We start from the raw sequence: 19,645 nt of genomic DNA on the forward strand, positions 1-19,645 counted from the left end.
TCTAAATTTTTAATTTTTGCTTTTGTTGCAATTGCTTGTGGCATCCTCATGATAAAATCTTTCCCAGTTCTTATGTTTAGAATGGTATTGCCTAGGTTGTCTTCCAAGGTCTTTATAATTTTGGGTTGTGCATTTAAGTCTTTAATTCATCCTGAGTTGATTTTTGTGTATGATGTAAGGGAGGGGTCAAGTTTTAATCTTCTGTATATGACTAGCTAGATATGCCAGCACCATTTATTGAATAGGGAATCTTTTTCCCATTGCTTGTTTTTGTCAGATTTGTAGAAAATCAGATAGTTGTAGTTGGGCAGTCTTATTTCTGGGTTCTTTATTCTGTTCCATTGGCCTTTGTATCTGTTTTTGTACCAGTACAATGCCGTTTTGGTAAATGTAGCCTCGTAGTATAGTTTGGAGTCAGATGCTGTGATGCTTCCAGCTTTGTTCTTTTGCTTAGGATTGCCTTGGATATTTGGGCTCTTTTTTGGCTCCATATGAATTTTAAAATAGTTTTTTTCTAGTTCTGTGAAGAATATCATTGGTAGTTTGATAGGAATAGCATTGAATCTGCAAATTGCTTTGAGCAGATGGCCATTTTAATGATATAGATTCTTCCTATTCATGAACATAGAATGTTTTTCCATTTGTTTTTGTCATGTCCGGTGTCTTTAGACAATGTTTTGTAATTCTTATTGTAGAGATCTTTAACCTCCTTGTTTAGTTGTATTCCTTGGTATTTTATGCTTTTGTGGCAGTTGTGAATGGGATTGCATGTCTGATTTGGCTCTTGGCTTGGCTATTTTTGGTATATAGGAATGCTACTGATTTTGTATGTTGACTTTGTATCCTAAAACTTTGCTGAAGTTGTTTATCAGCTGAAGAAACTTTGGGCCAATGTTATAGGGTTTTCTAGGTATAGAATCACGCTGTCTGCAAACAAGGATTGTTTGATTTCCTTTCTTCCTATTTGGATGCCCTTTATTTCTTTCTGTTGCCTAATTTCTGTAGCCAGGTCTCTCAGTACTTTGCTGAATAGGAGTGGTGAGAGAAGGAATACTTGTCTTGTGCTAGTTTTCAAGGGAAATGCTTCCAGCTTTTGTTCATTCAGTATAATGTTGGCTGTGTGTTTGTCATAGATGGCACTTAGTATTTTGAGGTATATTTATTCAATACCTAGATTATTGAGAGTTTTTAACATGAAGTGATGTTAAATTTTATTGAAAACTTTTTCTACGTCTATTGAGATGATTATGTGATTTTTGTCTTTAGTTCTGTTTATGTGATGAATCATATTTATTGATTTGCATATATGTTGAACCAACCTTGCAACCCAGGGATAAAGTCTACTTTAGCATGGTAGATTAGTTTTTATGATGTGCTGCTACATTCTGTTTGCAAGTATTTTGCTGAGGATTTTTGCATCAATGTTCATTAAGGATATTGGTCTGAAGTTTTCTTTTATTGTCCCTCGTCCTCAATTTTTAAAAAATAGTTTCAGTTGAAATGGTACCATCTCTTCTTTATACATCTGGTAGAATTTGGCTGTGAATTTTTCTGGTCCTGAGCTATTTTTGGTTGGTAGGATATTTATTACTGATTCAGTTTTAGAACTTATGATTGGTGTATTCAGAGAATCAATTTCTTCCTAGTTCAGTCTTGGGAAGGTGTATGTTTCCAGGAATTTATTCATTTCTTCTAGGTTTTCTCGTTTGTGTGCATATAGGTTTTCATAGCAGTATTTGATGGTTGTTTGTATGTCTGTTGGGTTGGTGGTAACATCCCCTTTGTCATTTCTTTTCTGTTTTTTTTTGTTTGTTTGTTCTGTTTTTGAGTCAGAGTCTTGCTCTGTCACCCTGGCTGGAGTGCAATGATGCGATCTGGGCTCACTGCAACCTCTGCCTCCCGGGTTCAAGAGATTCTCCTGCCTCAGCCTCCTGAGTAGCTGCAATTACAGGCACCTGCCACCACACCTGTCTAATTGTTTTGTATTTTTAGTAGAGATGGAGTTTCACCATGTTGGCCAGGCTAGTCTCGAACTCCTGACCTCAGGTGATCCACCTGCCTTGGCCTCCCAAAGTGCTGGGATTATAGGCATGAGCCACGGCACCTGGCCCCTTTCTAATTGTGTATTTGGACTTCTTTCTCTTGTTATTAGTCTAGCTAGTGGCATATCTTATTGATTCTTTTTTCAAACAAACAACTGGAGTCATCAATCTTTTGAATTGTTTTTTGTGTCTCAGTCTCCTTCAGTTGGGATTGGTTTGTTCTTGCTTCTCTATTTCTTTTAGCTGTGATGTGAAATTGTTAATTTGAGATTTTTCTAACTTTCTGATGTGGCATTTAGTGCTATAAATTTCCTCTTAACTCTGCAATGGCTGTGTTCCAAACATTCTGTGTTGCAAAGATACTTTTGTATCTTTTTTCTCATTAGTTTCAAACAACGTAATTTCTTCCCTAATTTCATTATTATCCTTAATTTCACTATTCAAAAGTCATTCAGGAACAGGTTGTTTAATTTCCATGTAATTGCATGGTTTTGAGCAATTTTTTCAGTCTTGATTTCTTTTTTTAATGTGCTGTGGTCCAAGAGTGTGTTTAGTATGATTTTGGCTCTTTTACATTTGCTGAGTATTGTTTTATATCTGATTGTGTGGGTGATTTTAGAGTATGTGCCACGTGGAGTGTGAAGAATGCATATTCTGTTGTTTTTGGATAGAGAGTTCTGTAGAAGTCTATTAGATCTATTTGGTCCAGTGCTGAATTCAAATACTAAATATGTATGTTAATTTCTTGCCTCAGTGATCTGTCCTGTCAGTGGAGTGCTGAAGTTTCCCACTATTATTGTGTGGGAGTCTAAGTCTTTTTGCAGGTTTCTAAGGATTTGCTGTATGAATCTTGGTGCTCCTGTGTTGGGTGCATGTATATTTAGAATATTTAACTCTTCTTATTGAATTGAACACTTTACCATTACATAATGCCCTTCTTTGTCTTTTTTGATCTTTGTTGGTTTAAAGTCTGTTTGGTCTGAAATTAGGATTGCAACATCTGTTTTTTTTTTTTCTGATTTTCATTTGCTTAGTAGATTTTCCACCATCCCTTTATTTTGAGGCACGGGTGTCATTGCATGTGAGATGGGTCTTTTCAAGACAGTATACCATTGGGTCTTGCTTTTTTATCCAGCTTGCCACTCTTTGCCTTTAAAGTGGGGCATTTAGCCCATTTACATCCAAGGTTAGTATTTATATATGCAGATTTGATTCTGTCATTGTGTTGTTAGTGGGTTATTTTGCTGGCTTGTGTATGTGGTTGCTTTATGGCATCACTGGTCTATGTACTTAAGTGTGTTTTTGTATTTGCTGGTAGTCGTCTCTCTTTTCCACATTTAGAGCTCTTTTCAAGATCTCTTGTAAGGTGGGTCTGATGGTAACAAACACCCCCAGCGTTTGCTTATCTGAAAAGTATCTCATTTCTCCATCTCTAAGGAGGATTAGTTTGACTGGATATGAAATTCTTGGCTGAAGATTTTTTTCTTTAAGAATGATGAATATAGGCCCTCAATCTCCTGTGATTTGTAAGGTTTCTCCTGAGAGGTCTGCTGTTAGCCTGATGGGGTTCCCTTGCGGGTGACCTGCCCTTTCTCTCTAGCTGCCTTTAACACTCTTTCTTTCATTTTGAACTTGGAAAATCTGCTCATTATGTGTCTTGGGGATAATTTTCTTGTGTAGAATCTTGCAGGGTTTCTCTGTGTTTCCTGAATTTGACTGTTTGCTTCTCTAACAGGGTTGGGGAAGTTTTCATGGACGATATCCTGAAATATGTTTTATAGGTTGTTTGCTTCCTCCTCATTCTTTTCAGGGATGCCAGTGATTCATAGATTTGGCCTCTTTACATAGTCTAATATTTCTCAGAGGTTTTGTTCATTCCATTTTATTCTTTTTTCTTTATTTTTGTCTGTTTTATTTTAGAGAGCTAGTCTTCAAGTTCTGAGATTCTTTCTTCAGCTTGGTCTAATCTGCTGTTTAATACTTGTGACTGCATTATGAAATCCTGGTAGCGGGTTTTTCAGTGCTATCAGATAAATTAGGTTATTTTTTCTACTGGGTATTTCATCTGTTAGCTCCTGTATCATTTTGTGGTGATTTTTAGTTTCCTTGGATTGGGTCTTGCCATTCTCCCAAATCTGGATGATCTTTCTTCCTATGCTTTATTCTATTTCTGTCATTTCAGTTAACTCAGCCTGGTTAAGAACCCTTATTGCAAAACTAGTGTGATCATGTGGAGACTGTAAGACACTCTGGCCCTTTGAGTTGCTAGAGTTCTTGCATTGGTTCTTTCTCATATTTGTGTGTAGGTGAGCCTTTAACTGCTGAGTTGCGTCTGATTCTAGTAACCAGGTGGGGGCAGGGTGGTTGTGTTGAAGTCTCAGATTGGGTGGCCCTGACCAGTGAGGGGAACTGAAGACCAGGACCTGTGTGGAGAATAGTCTGGCCACTTTTCTGTGAGGTGGGTGCTCTGTGCTTGGGGTCCGAACCAGCCCCTGGTCCCTGCAGACTCTCCAGAGCTTGGTGACAGCAAAGGCGAGAAGTGTGAAATAGCAAAGACGGCAACCTTCCCCTTCCTCTGGGAACTCTGCCTCAGTGAGTTGCAGAGCTGCTATAGACTCAATGACCTCAGCAGTGGGTAGCTGAAGACCCAGGTTGGGAGGACCTGCCCAGTGAGGAGATACAGGATCAGGGACCTATGTATGAGTAGGGCTGCTGCAGTGTGCTAGGGGTCTGCTCCAGTCCCTAGCCACCCCAGATTTTCCAGCACCTGAAGGTACCAACAGTGAAAGCTGCAATACAGCAAAGATGGCAGCCTGCCCCTCCCACTGGGAATTCCATCCCAGAGAAGTATGGACCTGTTACTGACCTAAACACACTGACAGGGGTGGTTGTAGACCTCAGTCGGGTGACTCCACACAATGAAAAGAAATGAGATCCAAGACCTGGGTGAAAAAGCAGTCTGGCCACTTCTTTGTGGAGCTGCTGTGCTGTGCCGGGGGACTGCTCCAGTCCTCAGTCACCTCAGACTCCTTAGACCCTGAAGGCAACAACAGCTAAGGCTATGAAACAGCAAAGATGGTGACCCATCACTTCCCCTGAAAGCTCTGTCCCAGAAAGGCTCAGAACCACTGCCAGCTGGAAAACACTGGCAAGGGTAGCTGGTGATCCTGATTGGGAGGTCCTGTCCAGTGAGGAAAAATGGGGTCAGGGCTCACATAAAACCAGCAGTCTGGCTGCTTTTTTGTAGGGTGGCTGCAATGAAATGGCTAATTGCTTTGAAACAGCGTAGGTAGTGCCCCAGCCCTTCCTCTGGGAACTCCATCTCAGGGAGGTGTAACACTGCTACTGGTGGCTGGTTGGATTTCCAAGCCAGTAGGTCTTATTCTGCAAGGTGCCATGAAAGTGGGGTCTGCAGACCATTGTTGCTCAGCCCCTTTCTTAAGGGTATGTATGGGGGTCTAACTTCCCACTTTGCTGGAATTGCAGCTGCTTTTGCTGGGAAGTCCTGGTGTCTAAAACTCCTGGGCTCTGCATGTGCCTGGGTGGATGCCCTACTAAGATTTCATGTAGCTGTGCATGTCAGACTGCAAGCCCTGGTGGAGTGAGTTCATAAAGAACTCTCCTAACCCAAAGGTTGCAAAGATCTGTGAGAGAAGCATGGGTCCCCCAGGGTCGCTCACTCACTCATTGCTTCCTTGGGCAGGGGAGACTCCCCTGGCTCTGTGTCACTCCTGGGTGGGCAGTCATTCTGCCTTACTTTTCTCCACTCTCCATGGGTGGAGTTGTTTCCTTGATGCATCCTGATACACACACCTGGATGTTTCAGTTGAAGGCGATGTATTTATTTGCTCCTTCTCTTTGTCTCCATCTCAGCAGCACACACTAGTGTCTTCAAGTCAGCCATCTTGGCCAGCTTCCCTCTAGATTTCTTTATATTGAATTAGTATAGTAATATTTTGCTGGAAGATGAATAGATAAATAGTCGATCTAAGCAAATTCCAGAATGCAGCCAAAAGAGAAAGCAATAGAACAAATAAAGGAAGATAAGAAAGTTAAAAGGGCAGGCCTAATGAATTTAGAGTTCCAAGAATAGAAAAAAACAGCAGATAAAAGAGAACAGTATTTGAAAAAAAAAAACAAAAAAACAATGACAGAATTTTCCAGGGTTGGTGAAAGATCTGTCCTCAGATTCAGGTTCACAGCAACTGGAAACTAGATAAATAGGAATTCTAACTCTACACATGTTCGAGGACAACTAGACTGTTGAAGACAGATAACGAGTTTTTAAAAACAACCAAAGGCACAAGATATTCTTCCTAACTTGCCTTCAATCAAGAATTGTATATGCAGCAAAGCCTCATTTAAGAGTGAAGACCTCATTCACAAATCAAGTCATTGTAAAACAAGCGACACTGAAAGAAATACTAGAGATGCAAAATTGAAAGGTCAACCTGCAAAAAGAAAAAGAAAAACTTAAGAGAATAGCTCTGAGGCCCAGAATTGCTACAATATAGTATCTAAAACCTTCAAATGTAACAAAAAAATTACAAGACATCCTACAAAACTGGAAGATGAAACTCACACTAAGGACAAAAAGCGGTCAATATCAACTGGCTCTGAATGGACCAAATGTTTTATTTCTGACGAAGACTTCAACACAGCTATTAGAAATATGTTCAAGGATATAAGAAAACATGACGACAGTAACTCCAAAAAGGTAATCTCAATAGATAAATGAAAACCACAAAAAAGAAACAAACAGAAATTCTGTAGTTGACTAGTACTATAAACAAGCTGAAAAACTCACAAGATGTGCTCAAATGCAGATTTGAGATGGCAGAAAGAATGAGTGAAACTAAATATAAATCAACAGAAATTATCTAATATAAAGAACAGGGAGAAAAATATTGAAAGTAAAACAGGAACAAACTAAGAGAAATTTGTAACAGCATGAAGCATCCCAACACATATGTAACAGGAATACCAGAAAGAGAGCAGAAAAAAAGAAAATGGAAAATGTATTTAAAATTAAAGGCTTGAGGCCAGGCATGGTGGTTCATGCCTGTAATCCCAGCGCTTTGGGATGCCAAGGTGGGCAGATCACCTGAGGTCGGGAGTTTAAGACCAGCCTGACCAACATGGCAAAAACTTGTTTCTTCTAAAAATACAAAAATTAGCCAGGCATGGTGGTGGGCACCTGTAATCTCAGCTACTTGGGAGGCTTAGGCATGAGAATCGCTTGCACATGGGAGGCAGAGTTTACAGTGAGTCAAAATCAGGCCACTGCACTCCAGCCTGGGTGACACAGCAAGACTTCATCTAAAAAAAAAAAATTAATGTCTTGAAAACTCCCAAATTCAGTTAAAAAATTAAGTCTACAGATCCAAAAAGTTCAAGGAACTCCAGGCACGATAAAAACAAAGAGTTTCATACCTGGATACATCATAGGGAAACTGTTGGAAGACAAAGAAAAAGAGGAAATCCTGAGAGCAACAAAACAAAGTCAACGCATGCATAGAGGAATAATAATAGTGGTTGCCTTCTCACATAAATGCTAGAGATCAATAATCAGTGGAATAATATATCATGCTGAAACAAAACAAACATTATTACCCAAACATTTCATTTCCAACAAAACAGTCTTTTAAAAATGACAACAAAGACATTCCCAGATAAATATAGACTGAGAATTTATTGCTAGCAAACCTGCATTGTAAGAAACACTAGAGAAAGTTTTTCAGGATGAAAGGAGATGATATTAGATGTTAACAAGAAAAAAAGAAAAATATCAGGAATTATAAACGTATTAGTCAATATAAAATATGATATGTATATGCATATATTCTTATATGTGTGTACATATACATATATATTCCTTTATTATTATTATTTTTTGAGATGGAGTCTGACTCTTGTCACCAAGGCTGGAGTGCAATCCTGTGATCTCAGCTCGCTGCAACCTCCACCCCCTAGGTTCAAATGATTCTCCTGCCTCAGCCTCCTGAATAGCTGGGATTACAGGTGTGCACCACCACACTCGGCTAATTTTTGTACTTTTAGTAGAGATGGGGTTTCACCATGTTGACCAGACTGGTCTCGAACTCCTGACCTCAGGAGATCTGCCTGCCTCAGTGTCACAAAGTGCTGGGATTACAGGCATGAGCCACAGTGCCCAGGCTATTCCTTTATTCTTAATTCTTTAATAAACATGTAATTGTATAAAGCAATGATGATTACACTATATTGTTGAGTTAATTATAAATATTTATAATATATATGTTACATACATGTGTTTAAATATTTTTTCACATGCAGATGTATACCCATACAAACATGCATCCGTGAGGGAGATGAGAGAGTAGAATTGGAGATGTATTAAAGTTACCATATTTTATTGTAATTAGGTCTATGTGTACCTAAAATAGACTGAAATAAGTTAATATATATGCATACATATATATGTATTATATTTATATATATATCCTTATGGCACCTCAGTTAAAACAATTCTAAAGTATATAGTTAAATGTAAATGGAATTAAAATGGTACAATAAAAATATTTCTTTAATACAAAAAAGTAAAAGAGAAGCAAAAATACACACAAAACACATAGGAAACAAATAGGAAAATGGCAGACATAAGTCCAATCCTACTAAAAATTACATTAAATGTAAATGGACTAACATTCAAGTCAAAATGCAGAGATCATCGTACTGGATAAAATACAAGATGACAATGCCCAATTATGTACTACTTACAGGAGGAATATTTTAGATTCAAGACACAAATGCAAGTTAAAGCATACAAAGTTTTAGTTACATAGGATAAATAAGTCTAGTGCTCTAATGTATGACATGATGACTGTTGCTAATGATATTGTGTTGTATTTTCAAAGAGAGTAGATTTCAGATATCCTTAACATACACACATACACAAAGTGGTAACTATGTGAGGAAATGAATATGTTAATTTTCTTGCTGTAGTAATCATTTAATTAAGTATATGTACATCAAAATATCATGTTGTAGACTTTATATACAACAAAAAGGCAGAAATGGGTGTCTTTATATATATAAACTAATTATATATATTATGTACATAATATATACATATATGTATATATATCATTCACATTCAAACATTCACTGTCAATAAGCTGGAATGGCCATTCTAAAATCCAACAAAATAGACTGTTAACAGCCATGTTCCATCTCTTACACAATTCTTCCAAGAAATGTCCCAGGACCTTGAGGACACTTGTTTAAATTTTCTGCTGAAAATTTTATTCTTGTCTGCAGCTGATCTGGGTAAAATGGTTTTGGCCACCCTGAAATGAAAAGTTTGCTCAACTTGAATTTTTCAATCAGAATTGTGTAAACTGAACTGACTGAAAAGTCTGTGGTGTTGGCTGTTATTTATGCTGTTCATTGTTGGTGATCTTTAATCAGGGCACAAATAAGATTTATATTTTCCTTGCAAATTGATGTGCATTGTCTACTGAGGCCTGCTTCATGTTCAACATAGTCTCACTCTTTCTTAAAACAAGTTATCGCTTTTTAAACTTCTGATTTCTTTGGGGCAAAGTCTTGATAAACTTTTTTAAAGTACAAATGATTTCACCATTCTTCCACCCAAACTTCACCATAAATTTGATGCTTGTTATTGTTTCAATTTTAGCAGAATTCATGTTGCTCGAATAGGACCCTGCTTTGTGCTTTGTCTGCAGGGTCACTATCTCAAGAGCAGCAGCAGGGAGGTAACCACCCCCGTGATTCAATGACATCTCACCAGGTCTCTCCCATAACATGGGGGGACAATTCAAGATGAGATTTGAGTCAGGACACAGTCACACCATATCACTTTTATTTAGAGAAAATTATAACATTTTATTATAGACAAATTTGTTAAAGATCTAAATTGAATGGAAAGATATTTGTATATTGGAATTCTCAATATCTTAAATTTGTTTTTCCTAAATTTGTTTGTAAATTTAATACATTTCCAATTAAAAATCCTTACTGGGTTTCTCAAGGAGCTTGAAAACAAGCCAAAAATTTCTGAAGGAAGAAAACACTGGAGTGCTCACCATGTTAATTATCAAAACTCATTATCATAAAGCATCAGTGCTGTGAGTTGAATAATTGTGTCCCTAAAAAGGTATGATCAAACCCTAACCTCCAGTACCTGTGAATGCAACTTTTTCTGGAAACAGGGTCTTTGTAGATGGAATGAGTTAAGATGAACTTATTATTGGAGTAGGGTGCGCTCTAAACCCAGTACAACTGTGATCTTACAAGAAGAGGAGAAAAAACACAGAGGCAAACAAAGAGAAGCTAAAGCTGTGTGAAGATGAAGGCAGACATCAGAGGAATGCGTCTACAAGCCAAGGATGCCCAGCGACCATGGAAACCAGGAAAGACTGGCCGGGTTCCTCTCTGGAGCCTCCAGAGAGAGATGTTCCTGCAACCCTTTGATTCTGGAGGGTGCTGAGAACTGTCCCCTGAATCGAGAGAGAATCAACTTCCATTGTGTTCAGCCACCCACCTTGTGGCACTTTGTTTGACAGGTGTAGCAACTAAGGGGCATGGCAATAAACACACTATAGGATGGGCACAGCGACAGACAGCAGGCAGGAAGAAAGATCCGAAGCCCACCCACCCTGCCTGGGAGCTCTGCAGCTCACAGAGGTGGGACTCCAGGCCAGCGGAGGGTGGAGGACTTAGTGACTGGTCTGGAAAATTAATTACCCATAGGCAAAAGTGAGGAGTCTGGGGTTCCCTAACTTGCATGATACACAAATTAAAAGAGTAAATATGTTAGGGGTAGCTTTGCAACTTTTGTAGGAAAATATTTTTATGGCTTCATCATATAAACAGATTTCCAAAACAAGACTTTAAAAAATAAAAGCATGAAGGAATAAAATAAAATAATAAATAAATAAATAAATAAATAAAATAAATAAAAAAAATAAAAATAAAACCATGAAGGACAGGACTGTCACATTCAACTCTGTCTGTCAAATACAAAGAACGAGGATGAGGCGGGTGGCAGGGGCGCTGAGACTGGCTGCCCGAGGTGCCGCCCTCCCTAGCAAACAAGCAGATCGCGCATGTTCAGGGAGAACCCAGCTCTCCACGTCTCCACTTTCGCCGCTTCTTTACCCCTTCAGGAACGTTGTCTGAAAGAAGCCTACACAGATGATTACTGTGGCTAATATTGAATAGAAGGGGACATTCCTCCTTATCAATCAGCATGTTGGTTGTTCTTCATCCCTGGGAGGACAAGTGGGAGTGTGATCCTCACCTGCCCTTTCACATCTGTGCAGAAGAGTGTGGGTGTGTGCACTGCATGGGCTTTATGTGAGTTTCTCTCTGGGGATCTAGTCTGTTGCACCATCAGCGCCTTGAGCAAACACTTGGGAAGAGGACTATTATCAAAAGTGGTCTTTGAACTTAGATCCAGCTGCCATCACTGGGTTGTGCAACCCTGGGGCAAGTGACTAATCCTTGTGGAGTCCACATCCAGTGACCACACACACACAACCCCTCCTATCTATCTATGTCCTATATCATTGGAAGTGTAGTACTTGGTATTTAATTTAGGAAACCATTGATAGGTTTTTGTATCATCTTTCACATTCTGATTTTTTATATAAACTGGAAGACAATGTGATGAAAGCATTGCATCCTAAGCCCCTCTGGCATGAACGGTCCTTGCTAGCTCTCTCTGCAACCTGATCCTTACACATGAAAACAATGTGTAGTTGAGTGAATTCCTCAAACATCTGTCAGACGGTTTTTGTGCACAAGGCCAAGTGCTAGGCAAGGATAGTAATCTTGCCTCTAACACAAGGTTGTGACAACAACTCCTGAGAAGTTAAGAATATATATTTCAATGCTCCAATTTACTTTGGAGTTAATTTAGCTTTTAAGAACACTGGCCAGAAATCTACACCAGAATCACAGTGGTGGGTGGTTTGCCCCCCACTGCTGGTACAGCTGCTAATTATTTTCTTTTCTATAATTTTGAGAGCCAGCAGGGCAGTTTGGGGATTAGAATTAGCATACACTTTTAAAGCATCATGGAGAGAAAAAGAGCAGCAGATCCTTTGCCCCTGAGTTCCAGACTGAGCAGTGGAATCTCGTCTTTGCCATTAAGCAGCCTGATACTTGAGTCACCTGGCGACACTCCCTGTTCCTCAAGCACTTGGCCTCTTGAAAAAAAATCCTCCAAAATAAGCTGATAGAGAGGGAGAGGCTTTCTTAGCCTTGACAAGTCTGAGTCCCGCGTGTTCTTTGAGCCACCCTGCATGGTGGAAGAGGTTGGAGCAGGAATTCCCTAGCTGGGATCCTCCATGTTCGCCTTATGCAGTGGCCCAAGGTGATGGCTGTCATCAGTACCACATCTATGGCTGGAAGCTGACCTGGCAGCCCACTCACTGGGCTTTAGACGACAGGGTGACCAGGGATGCCCAATTTCCATGCAGCTGGGGAGTCCCTGGATCTACAAATCTGCCCTCGTGTGTGCAGGCATGCTTTCTGCTCCACCCCAGCTGAGAACCTTCTCTCCCAGGCCTTTTTCCCTCTAAGAGTCTCTGCAGAAAGCCCCAGGACCAGGTCATGTCTTCCTCATCTTTACGTCATTGCATCAGGCGGTGCCCAGGGACTGACCAGGATGCACTTCCTGCAAACCTCAGTTGGACTAAATGGAAATCCCCGCCCTCTGCACTGTGGTGCTCTGAGTGGTGTCTGTTCTCTTTCTGCAACTCAGATCCCACCATGCTCTGGGAGCAGCGTAAGGAGGAGGCTCAGCCTGCACATCCCCAGACCCGCAGTGCACCTTCCCCTGCATGTGGGACTCCAGCCCCTTGGTGTGGGGCTAACAATGTGCATGGCCTCCCGGCCTCCTTGATTTCCCGTCCACAGGTCGTGACTGGGCTGTGCTCTCTTGGTGCACATGGTCCACCCTCCCACACCTGGCTGGCCTTCTCTGCAGCCTGGCCTGGCTCTGGCCTCCCTGGGTGCTCAGACCTTCCAAGTCTCCCTCCTTGGCTCTGCCTGCTAAGCCCCAGGGTCGCGGGGGTACTCCTGATCGCCTACCATGCTTATTATTCCTTAGACCAGAGGTGCCTTAGAGTCTGTACAATCCCAGAGTTTCTGAAAATGCCAGTTCATTGATTAGGAAGCCTTCACGGGCCTGAAAAATCTGATTATGGATGGACTATAACCACTCTTGGGAAAAACTCAACTCACTTCCTGGGTTTCCCACACCAGCCACCTTCATGAGCAGGCTCCATACCCTACAGAGCCCCCTGGTCCAGAGGAGATGTGAGTTCAGGGTCTGTGGTTTGCCCAACACTGCTGTCTCTGAAGTTTCTGAGCTCCTTGGAGTTGCCTAACCATTGCTTGCACCTGTCTCTTGTCTTGAGTTTTCCCCGTTTGGGACGGGATCCTCCAAGTGCTTCATTGACTCTGGTTTGCTGATGCACCACCTGTCTATCAAGGCTGAGCTCGGTAGCCACTCTGCAGGGAGACAGAAATGACTTGCTCATTTGGGGCTGCCTCTCTTTATATTTGACTCTTAGCAGCTTCCAAGCTGCGTACTATGCTATTCCATGGGGTGTTTTATCTTTCCACCCAGCCTAGATTATAGATACTCAAGGTTAATGTTTTCAGTGTATTTATCTTTACAATCCCACAGTCTCTGGCCCATAACAGACCCTCAATAAATATCTGCTTAATGTGCTTCAAATCTGGCTGGCTCAACAAGGGCAGCCGTCTCTCTTCTGTGGCAATGACAACTAAATTATCACTTAGTTCAATTTATTACCCATTGATGCAGGTCACTGATTAATCAATGAAAGTATGGGGCTTGCTATGAATCACTGGGATAAGAGAAATGAGTAAAGTCCACACATTCTCGTCCCCATTCATGCATAGACAAGCCTTATTTAAGATGCAGGCTAAGAAAATGAACATATTCCTTTCAGAGCCTTTGAAAGGAGAACACTGAAGAACCCCAGATTGCTTGCTGAAGATTTGCACTAAATTATATTCCTCTCATGATTCCCCATCCCCTCTCCATAATTGTATATTCAAAGCAAATGCATTATTTAAACAATAATATACTCTCTATTAGTCTCTTGCTTTGGGTAAATGGTTGGCTAAAGCAATTACAGGCCCCAGGGAGGGACTTGCAGAAGAGGAACCAAGATGCACCACGGATAATATGAGCCTCTACTTTATTGCAATAATTACAGATTTTTATACAGTGTACTGAGGGACTGTAAGAGTGTTAAGGATGCTGTAATGACCAGCAATTTTCTTTTATGCTAATGTCAGAAAGAGAACACGATGGGGCAACATGGAACTGCACAGGATCCCAGCATGCCTTGCATTTTTGTTTAACGCCCCTTCAAGGCACTTGTGAACAGAGCTATGATCATCAAAAAGCCACGATATTAAAAACAGATAGGAATTAGCTTCAAGGTAAGTGCAAAATATTAGAAATATGTGAGTGGCATGAAATCCACTCCTGCGGATATGTGGAAAATGATGACAATGTGCTTGGCCAATTATCCGAAAATGTCATCTGGTGTGCACAATTAAAGCAGGATTCAGTGACAGAGATGCAGGATGTTTTTAAATAAGAGAATGAATCTGCTTAGACTGTGGAGGGAGCCTTGATAAGTTGTGTTTCTAGTGAGTTTCCTGCAAAGCCATTGCCCAGCCATGGGGCTCCTCCCTCCTCCTCTCCCTCCCAGCCCACCACCCTCATGAGCCTGGCATCTGCTCTCCAGAGCCTGGCCCATGCCTCCTTCCTTACCTCCTCACCTGCACTTTCTGCTCAGCCCCGTGCATCTGTTACCCCCACAGGAGTTCCCTTTGTGAACACATCTGTCTCCTTTTCCTTCACATTTGAACCCAGCCATGACCCTTGATTGCCACCCAGACTGTACTGCAGGCACTGGGACTTCATCCGAGCCCTTCACAGGCTGGCCACACTCAATCCATCCCACACTCACCCAGGACCATGCATCAGCTGGTGGCTTGAGCCCACATTGGAGCGTGGAGGCCAAAATGTCACTGAAAATGCAGTGAAAACAAATCAAAAGGATTGCAGAGGCCACATCTCTATAACCATTTATGCATGTTTTCTGCTTGTCTGCTTGTGGGCCATTTCATGCAACTTCACTCTGTTCTTCTCTGTGGACCACCAAACCCTATCTCTCCCTTCCTCCCTCTCTGTCCCAGCCTCCTGGCTCCCTCAAAGAGAAGGCACCACCACTCAATTTCCAACCAGACACTTCTCCTTGTCTGTGGCTCTTTCTGCAGATCCTGCTCCCATTTTCAAGGAAAGATTTCTACCTCCAGCAAAAGTGATGGGCTTCTCATTTGTGCTTGATTTTCAACAAGTTACACAATGATAACAACAAAATGCAATCCAAAAATTGAATCTAATTTCGTAATGGTGATAACAATGGCTGCCATTCATCAGGGACTTTCATATTCTAAACTTTTTGCTAAGAATTTTATGTACATCATCAAAGATTTAATACAAGATATTCAATTGTCCTCACTTGCACTTGGGAGACAGCTGCTTATCCATGACTGCATGGAGGTGAGGATGGGCAGTGGAGTTTGCACCTGTGTCCAGTCATCACGTGCATGCAGAGTCCCCTGCCACATTATCCATCTTCCCTGTGGCTTCTGCACTTCCCAGGGCTGTGCCAAGGGATGAGTATCACCAGCAAGGCTGGAGATCCTCATCTGCTCAGGGGGATTCTGGTTTTACTTATTGTGGGATTATTATTATAATTGTTCTCAGCTGGCTGGGTGTGGTGGCTTGCCTGTAATCCCAGCACTTTGGGAGGCTGAGGCTGAGGTGGGAGGGCTGCTTTAGGCCAGGAGCCCAAGACCAGCCTGGTAACATAGCAAGACCCTATCTCCACAAAAAATTAAAAAAACATTGTTCTCTTTCACTCTCCAAGTATTCTGGCTTATACAATAAATTACATTCTCAGTATGGCCATCCAGTGCTGGTCTCTTTGTGCTCACTAAGGGTGTCAGTGGCAGAGCCTGGAGAGAGCTCAGATCTCCTACCAGGCAAGTCTCTTTCCAGTGTTGTATTCCTTGATTCTCAGATAGAAAAGTTGAGATTTAATGGAGATTAAATTCAACCAAGTGCAGTTAACACTGTGAGGTTCCAGCATCAATATTGTTTTCTTACTAGCATTGAGGCAAACACACACTAGGGTGACCCATGAGTCATGCTGTTGTGTAACCCCTAATCTTGAGTGTGGATGGGGCCTGGGACTTGTTTCTAACCAACCAAGTGTGGCAAAGATGATGGGCTGCCACTCTCATGATTAGGTAATAATGTAATCATGTGAGGCCACTCAGCAGACTCAAGTGAGAGGGTCCTTTTGTGGCTTTGAAGAAGCAGCTGCCATGCTGTGAAAATGTCATGCAGTAGTGACTTAGGGTGGCCTTTTGGAGCTGAGGGTGGTCCCTGGATGACAGCTAGCAAGAAAACAGAGACCTTGGTACTACAACCGCAGAGGGACACATCTGCCAGTAATAACAGCTGGAAAGCAGATCCTTCTCCAGTTGAGCCTCTGATGACACTGCAGCCCTGGCTGACGTATGGATTGTAGTCTGGTAAGACCCTAAGTTAGGGAATGAAGCTAAGCTGTGTTCATTCCTGTGACCCACAGAAATCCTGAAATAATAAATGGATATTGTTTTAAGCCACTAAGTTTGTGACAACTTGTTATGCAGCCTAGAAAACCATAGAGATGCCATTATGGAGGAGCCTGAGTGAGTTTAGGGAGCAGCATACACTAGAGTCCCACCTGAGAAAGTTTGAATCTTGACTCCACAGCTTACCTGAAGTGTGAATGTGGGCAAATTAGTGATACACTTTGTGCTTTAAGAACCTTACCTGTCAGGTGCAGGTAATAATAATGCCTGCCTTTATTATACTGGGAGACATAAATGCATTGAAAAGGCACACACGTGTAGTAAGCACTGAATAAATGTTAGCTTCTGATACCTACATGGACAAGAGATACACCATAATACACATTTTAAATTGTTGATTTGGAAAAATGTACATGTTTGAACACCCATGAATTACTTGATTTGACCTTGTTCTTCTAGTTGAGATTTAATGCTAAGCCTTGTGCAAACATCATTAAAAATATACTTCTCCGCTCTCTAGTTAACAATTTAAAAGAGATAACATTGAAGCAAATATACACATGAAAACATAAAACAAATGTGTAAGATGTGCGCAAACATAAAACATAATTAAGGTTGATGTTTTCAGTGTGCATGCTGAGTGGTATGGTGGGTTTGATGTTTTAATATTTGCTCAGGGATGACTTGATGGTTTCTGACTGCTAACGGCTGATGGGGGAAGACGATTCCAAGGTAAGAGAGATGCACCTTGAGATGACAATGGAGACATGGGTGCTCCTCGGGAGGTGGAGGTTGGTTCCTCAGCTCAAAGGGACACCTCGCTGCTGGGGAAATGGATCATCCCTAGGGAATGACAATGAGCAGGGTGCCATTTAAATGAGCAGCAGTGAGTAAATGTTGATGCTGTTCATGAAAGCACAGAACACGGAGCCCAGCAGCAAATCCCAAGGAGTCCAGTAGTTAACTTCAAACATTGGAACCCGGAGGCAGCCAAGTGATGCGTGTGCATCTGGACGTTATTCTGTGATGTCCTTTTCTGCAAAATAAACACCAGTAGGAAGGAGCTATTGAAATAAGATGCCAATAGTGCTCTGAGAAACTGAGTGATGTGTTAACTTTCTCTTCCTTCTCCCTTTCTCTCTCCCTTTCTTTCTCTTTATTAGTTTTTGTTTGTTGTTTTCTCTAGCCTTCCTAAAAACTAAATATCATGGGGGTTGGACAGAAACATCCAATGTGCCTTGGTGCGTATGTGCCCATCCAGGCAGGCAAGGGACACTTCTGGTTCTTCCTGTCCCTTCAGGGGCAGACCCATCACATCCCAGGGAAGAAGTGGGACTTCAACATTGAACAGGGGCTCCTGCATTGGTTTAAAACTCTATGATCATCTTGTCCAATCTTACACAGAAGAACAGCCCCTGGAAACTCTATAGGGCCCTCTGTTCTGGAGACTTGGGGTCAGAATAACATTTTCCTTCGTGTTTGCAGGCATTTGTGGTTTTCTCTCTACCTCCCCTGCTGCTGCTTCTCAGCTCCTTTCCAAGTTGTTTTCCTTCTCTGTCTTGCCCTTAAATAGCAGCAACATTAAAACATTTCCTGGGGCCTCTTTCCTATTCATATTCATATTCACCTGACTGGTGAAGTCAACTTCTCTAACTGAGATCCTCACATCTTTGCTGACCAATCCCTCACAAGTCTCTAGCTTGTGCTCAGCCTTCTCTGCTGAGCTCCGAAGTCATCTGGACAAAGCCTGCTGGCTGTCTCTATTTGGTGTTCCGTGGACACCTCCAACACTCACATCTGAAACTGTCCTCATCTCCTTTCCACCAAGTCCCCAAACCTGACCCTGTGTAGTCATATTGGGGAATTGGAGAAGTATGTTACCCAGGACAGAGCCCCAGGAGTCATGCCCACTCTGCTCCCACTCTGCCCTTTTCTAGGTCCTAAATGCCGCTGATTCAGCCTCTTCTCCTCAGACCTCACCCTCACGCACACAAACCTAGCATGCCACCCAGACGGCTATGAGACTTTCCACACAGAAGTCAGGGCGGTTTTTTAAATGCCTGATCCGATCGGGCCTTTCCCGTGGTCACACCCCGACTTTGTCCTTAGGATAAAGTTTAGAATCCCTGATGTGAATTGAGAGCCTCTGCACCACTGGGCCTCTGGGGACCTCCCCCCGACTTCCAGCCACTCTGGCTCATTTAGACAACCCCAACTTTACCCATGCTCCTTTGCGCATGGCCCTTACCCATCCCTGCCCATGTGTGGCCTACCTGGCTCCTTTCTGCTACTTCTTCTGGTCTCATCTGAGACCACTTCTTCCGGGAAGCCTTCTCTGAGCTCACCTCCTAACCCTTGCCCTCCCTGGCCTAAGCTACTTGCCTCTTCACTTTTACTATCCTAGCCATCGGGTGATGACGAAGCTGCTGTTTCTTATTAACCCCCTGGGTGTCCACTTCCTTTCCCTGGTGCCATAACCTTCATTAGGTCAGGGGCTCTCTGAGAGGTCCACCTTTGCAGTCTCAGAATCAAGCACATTGCTGGTATAAAAATTAACCCATTGAATACATTATTTTCTATACTTTTTGGTTAATTTCCTTTTTAGATTTTTTTTATTTGTAATTGACAAGTAAGAGTTGAATATATTTATGGGGTACACTGTGATGTTTTGATATACATATATTGTAGAATGGCAATATCAAGGTAGTTAACATATCCATCACCTCACATGCTTATATTTTTTTGTAGTGAGAACATTTTAAATCTACTCTGCTAGCAATTTTGAAATACATATTATTATTAACTACGGTAATCAGGCTATGCAACAGATCACTAAAACTTATCCCACCTGTCCAGTTGAAATTTTTTACCCTCTGGCCAACACCTTTCCTGCTCTGACA

At 41.7% G+C, this 19,645-nt stretch overlaps 2 annotated features.

Annotated features, from left to right (window-relative positions):
• Nucleotides 12,431–12,931: an enhancer, noted in NCBI's record as "H3K4me1 hESC enhancer chr5:2353718-2354218 (GRCh37/hg19 assembly coordinates)". NCBI's record gives its function as "activates a minimal SCP1, AML or CMV promoter by ChIP-STARR-seq in naive H9 embryonic stem cells {active_cell/tissue: H9 hESC(naive)}" and the evidence as "EXISTENCE:reporter gene assay evidence [ECO:0000049][PMID:30033119]".
• Nucleotides 17,989–18,490: an enhancer, noted in NCBI's record as "NANOG hESC enhancer chr5:2359276-2359777 (GRCh37/hg19 assembly coordinates)". NCBI's record gives its function as "activates a minimal SCP1, AML or CMV promoter by ChIP-STARR-seq in naive H9 embryonic stem cells {active_cell/tissue: H9 hESC(naive)}" and the evidence as "EXISTENCE:reporter gene assay evidence [ECO:0000049][PMID:30033119]".

This window comes from Homo sapiens, chromosome 5 (assembly GCF_000001405.40).
Source record: "Homo sapiens chromosome 5, GRCh38.p14 Primary Assembly".
Classification (NCBI taxonomy): Eukaryota; Metazoa; Chordata; class Mammalia; order Primates; family Hominidae; genus Homo; species Homo sapiens.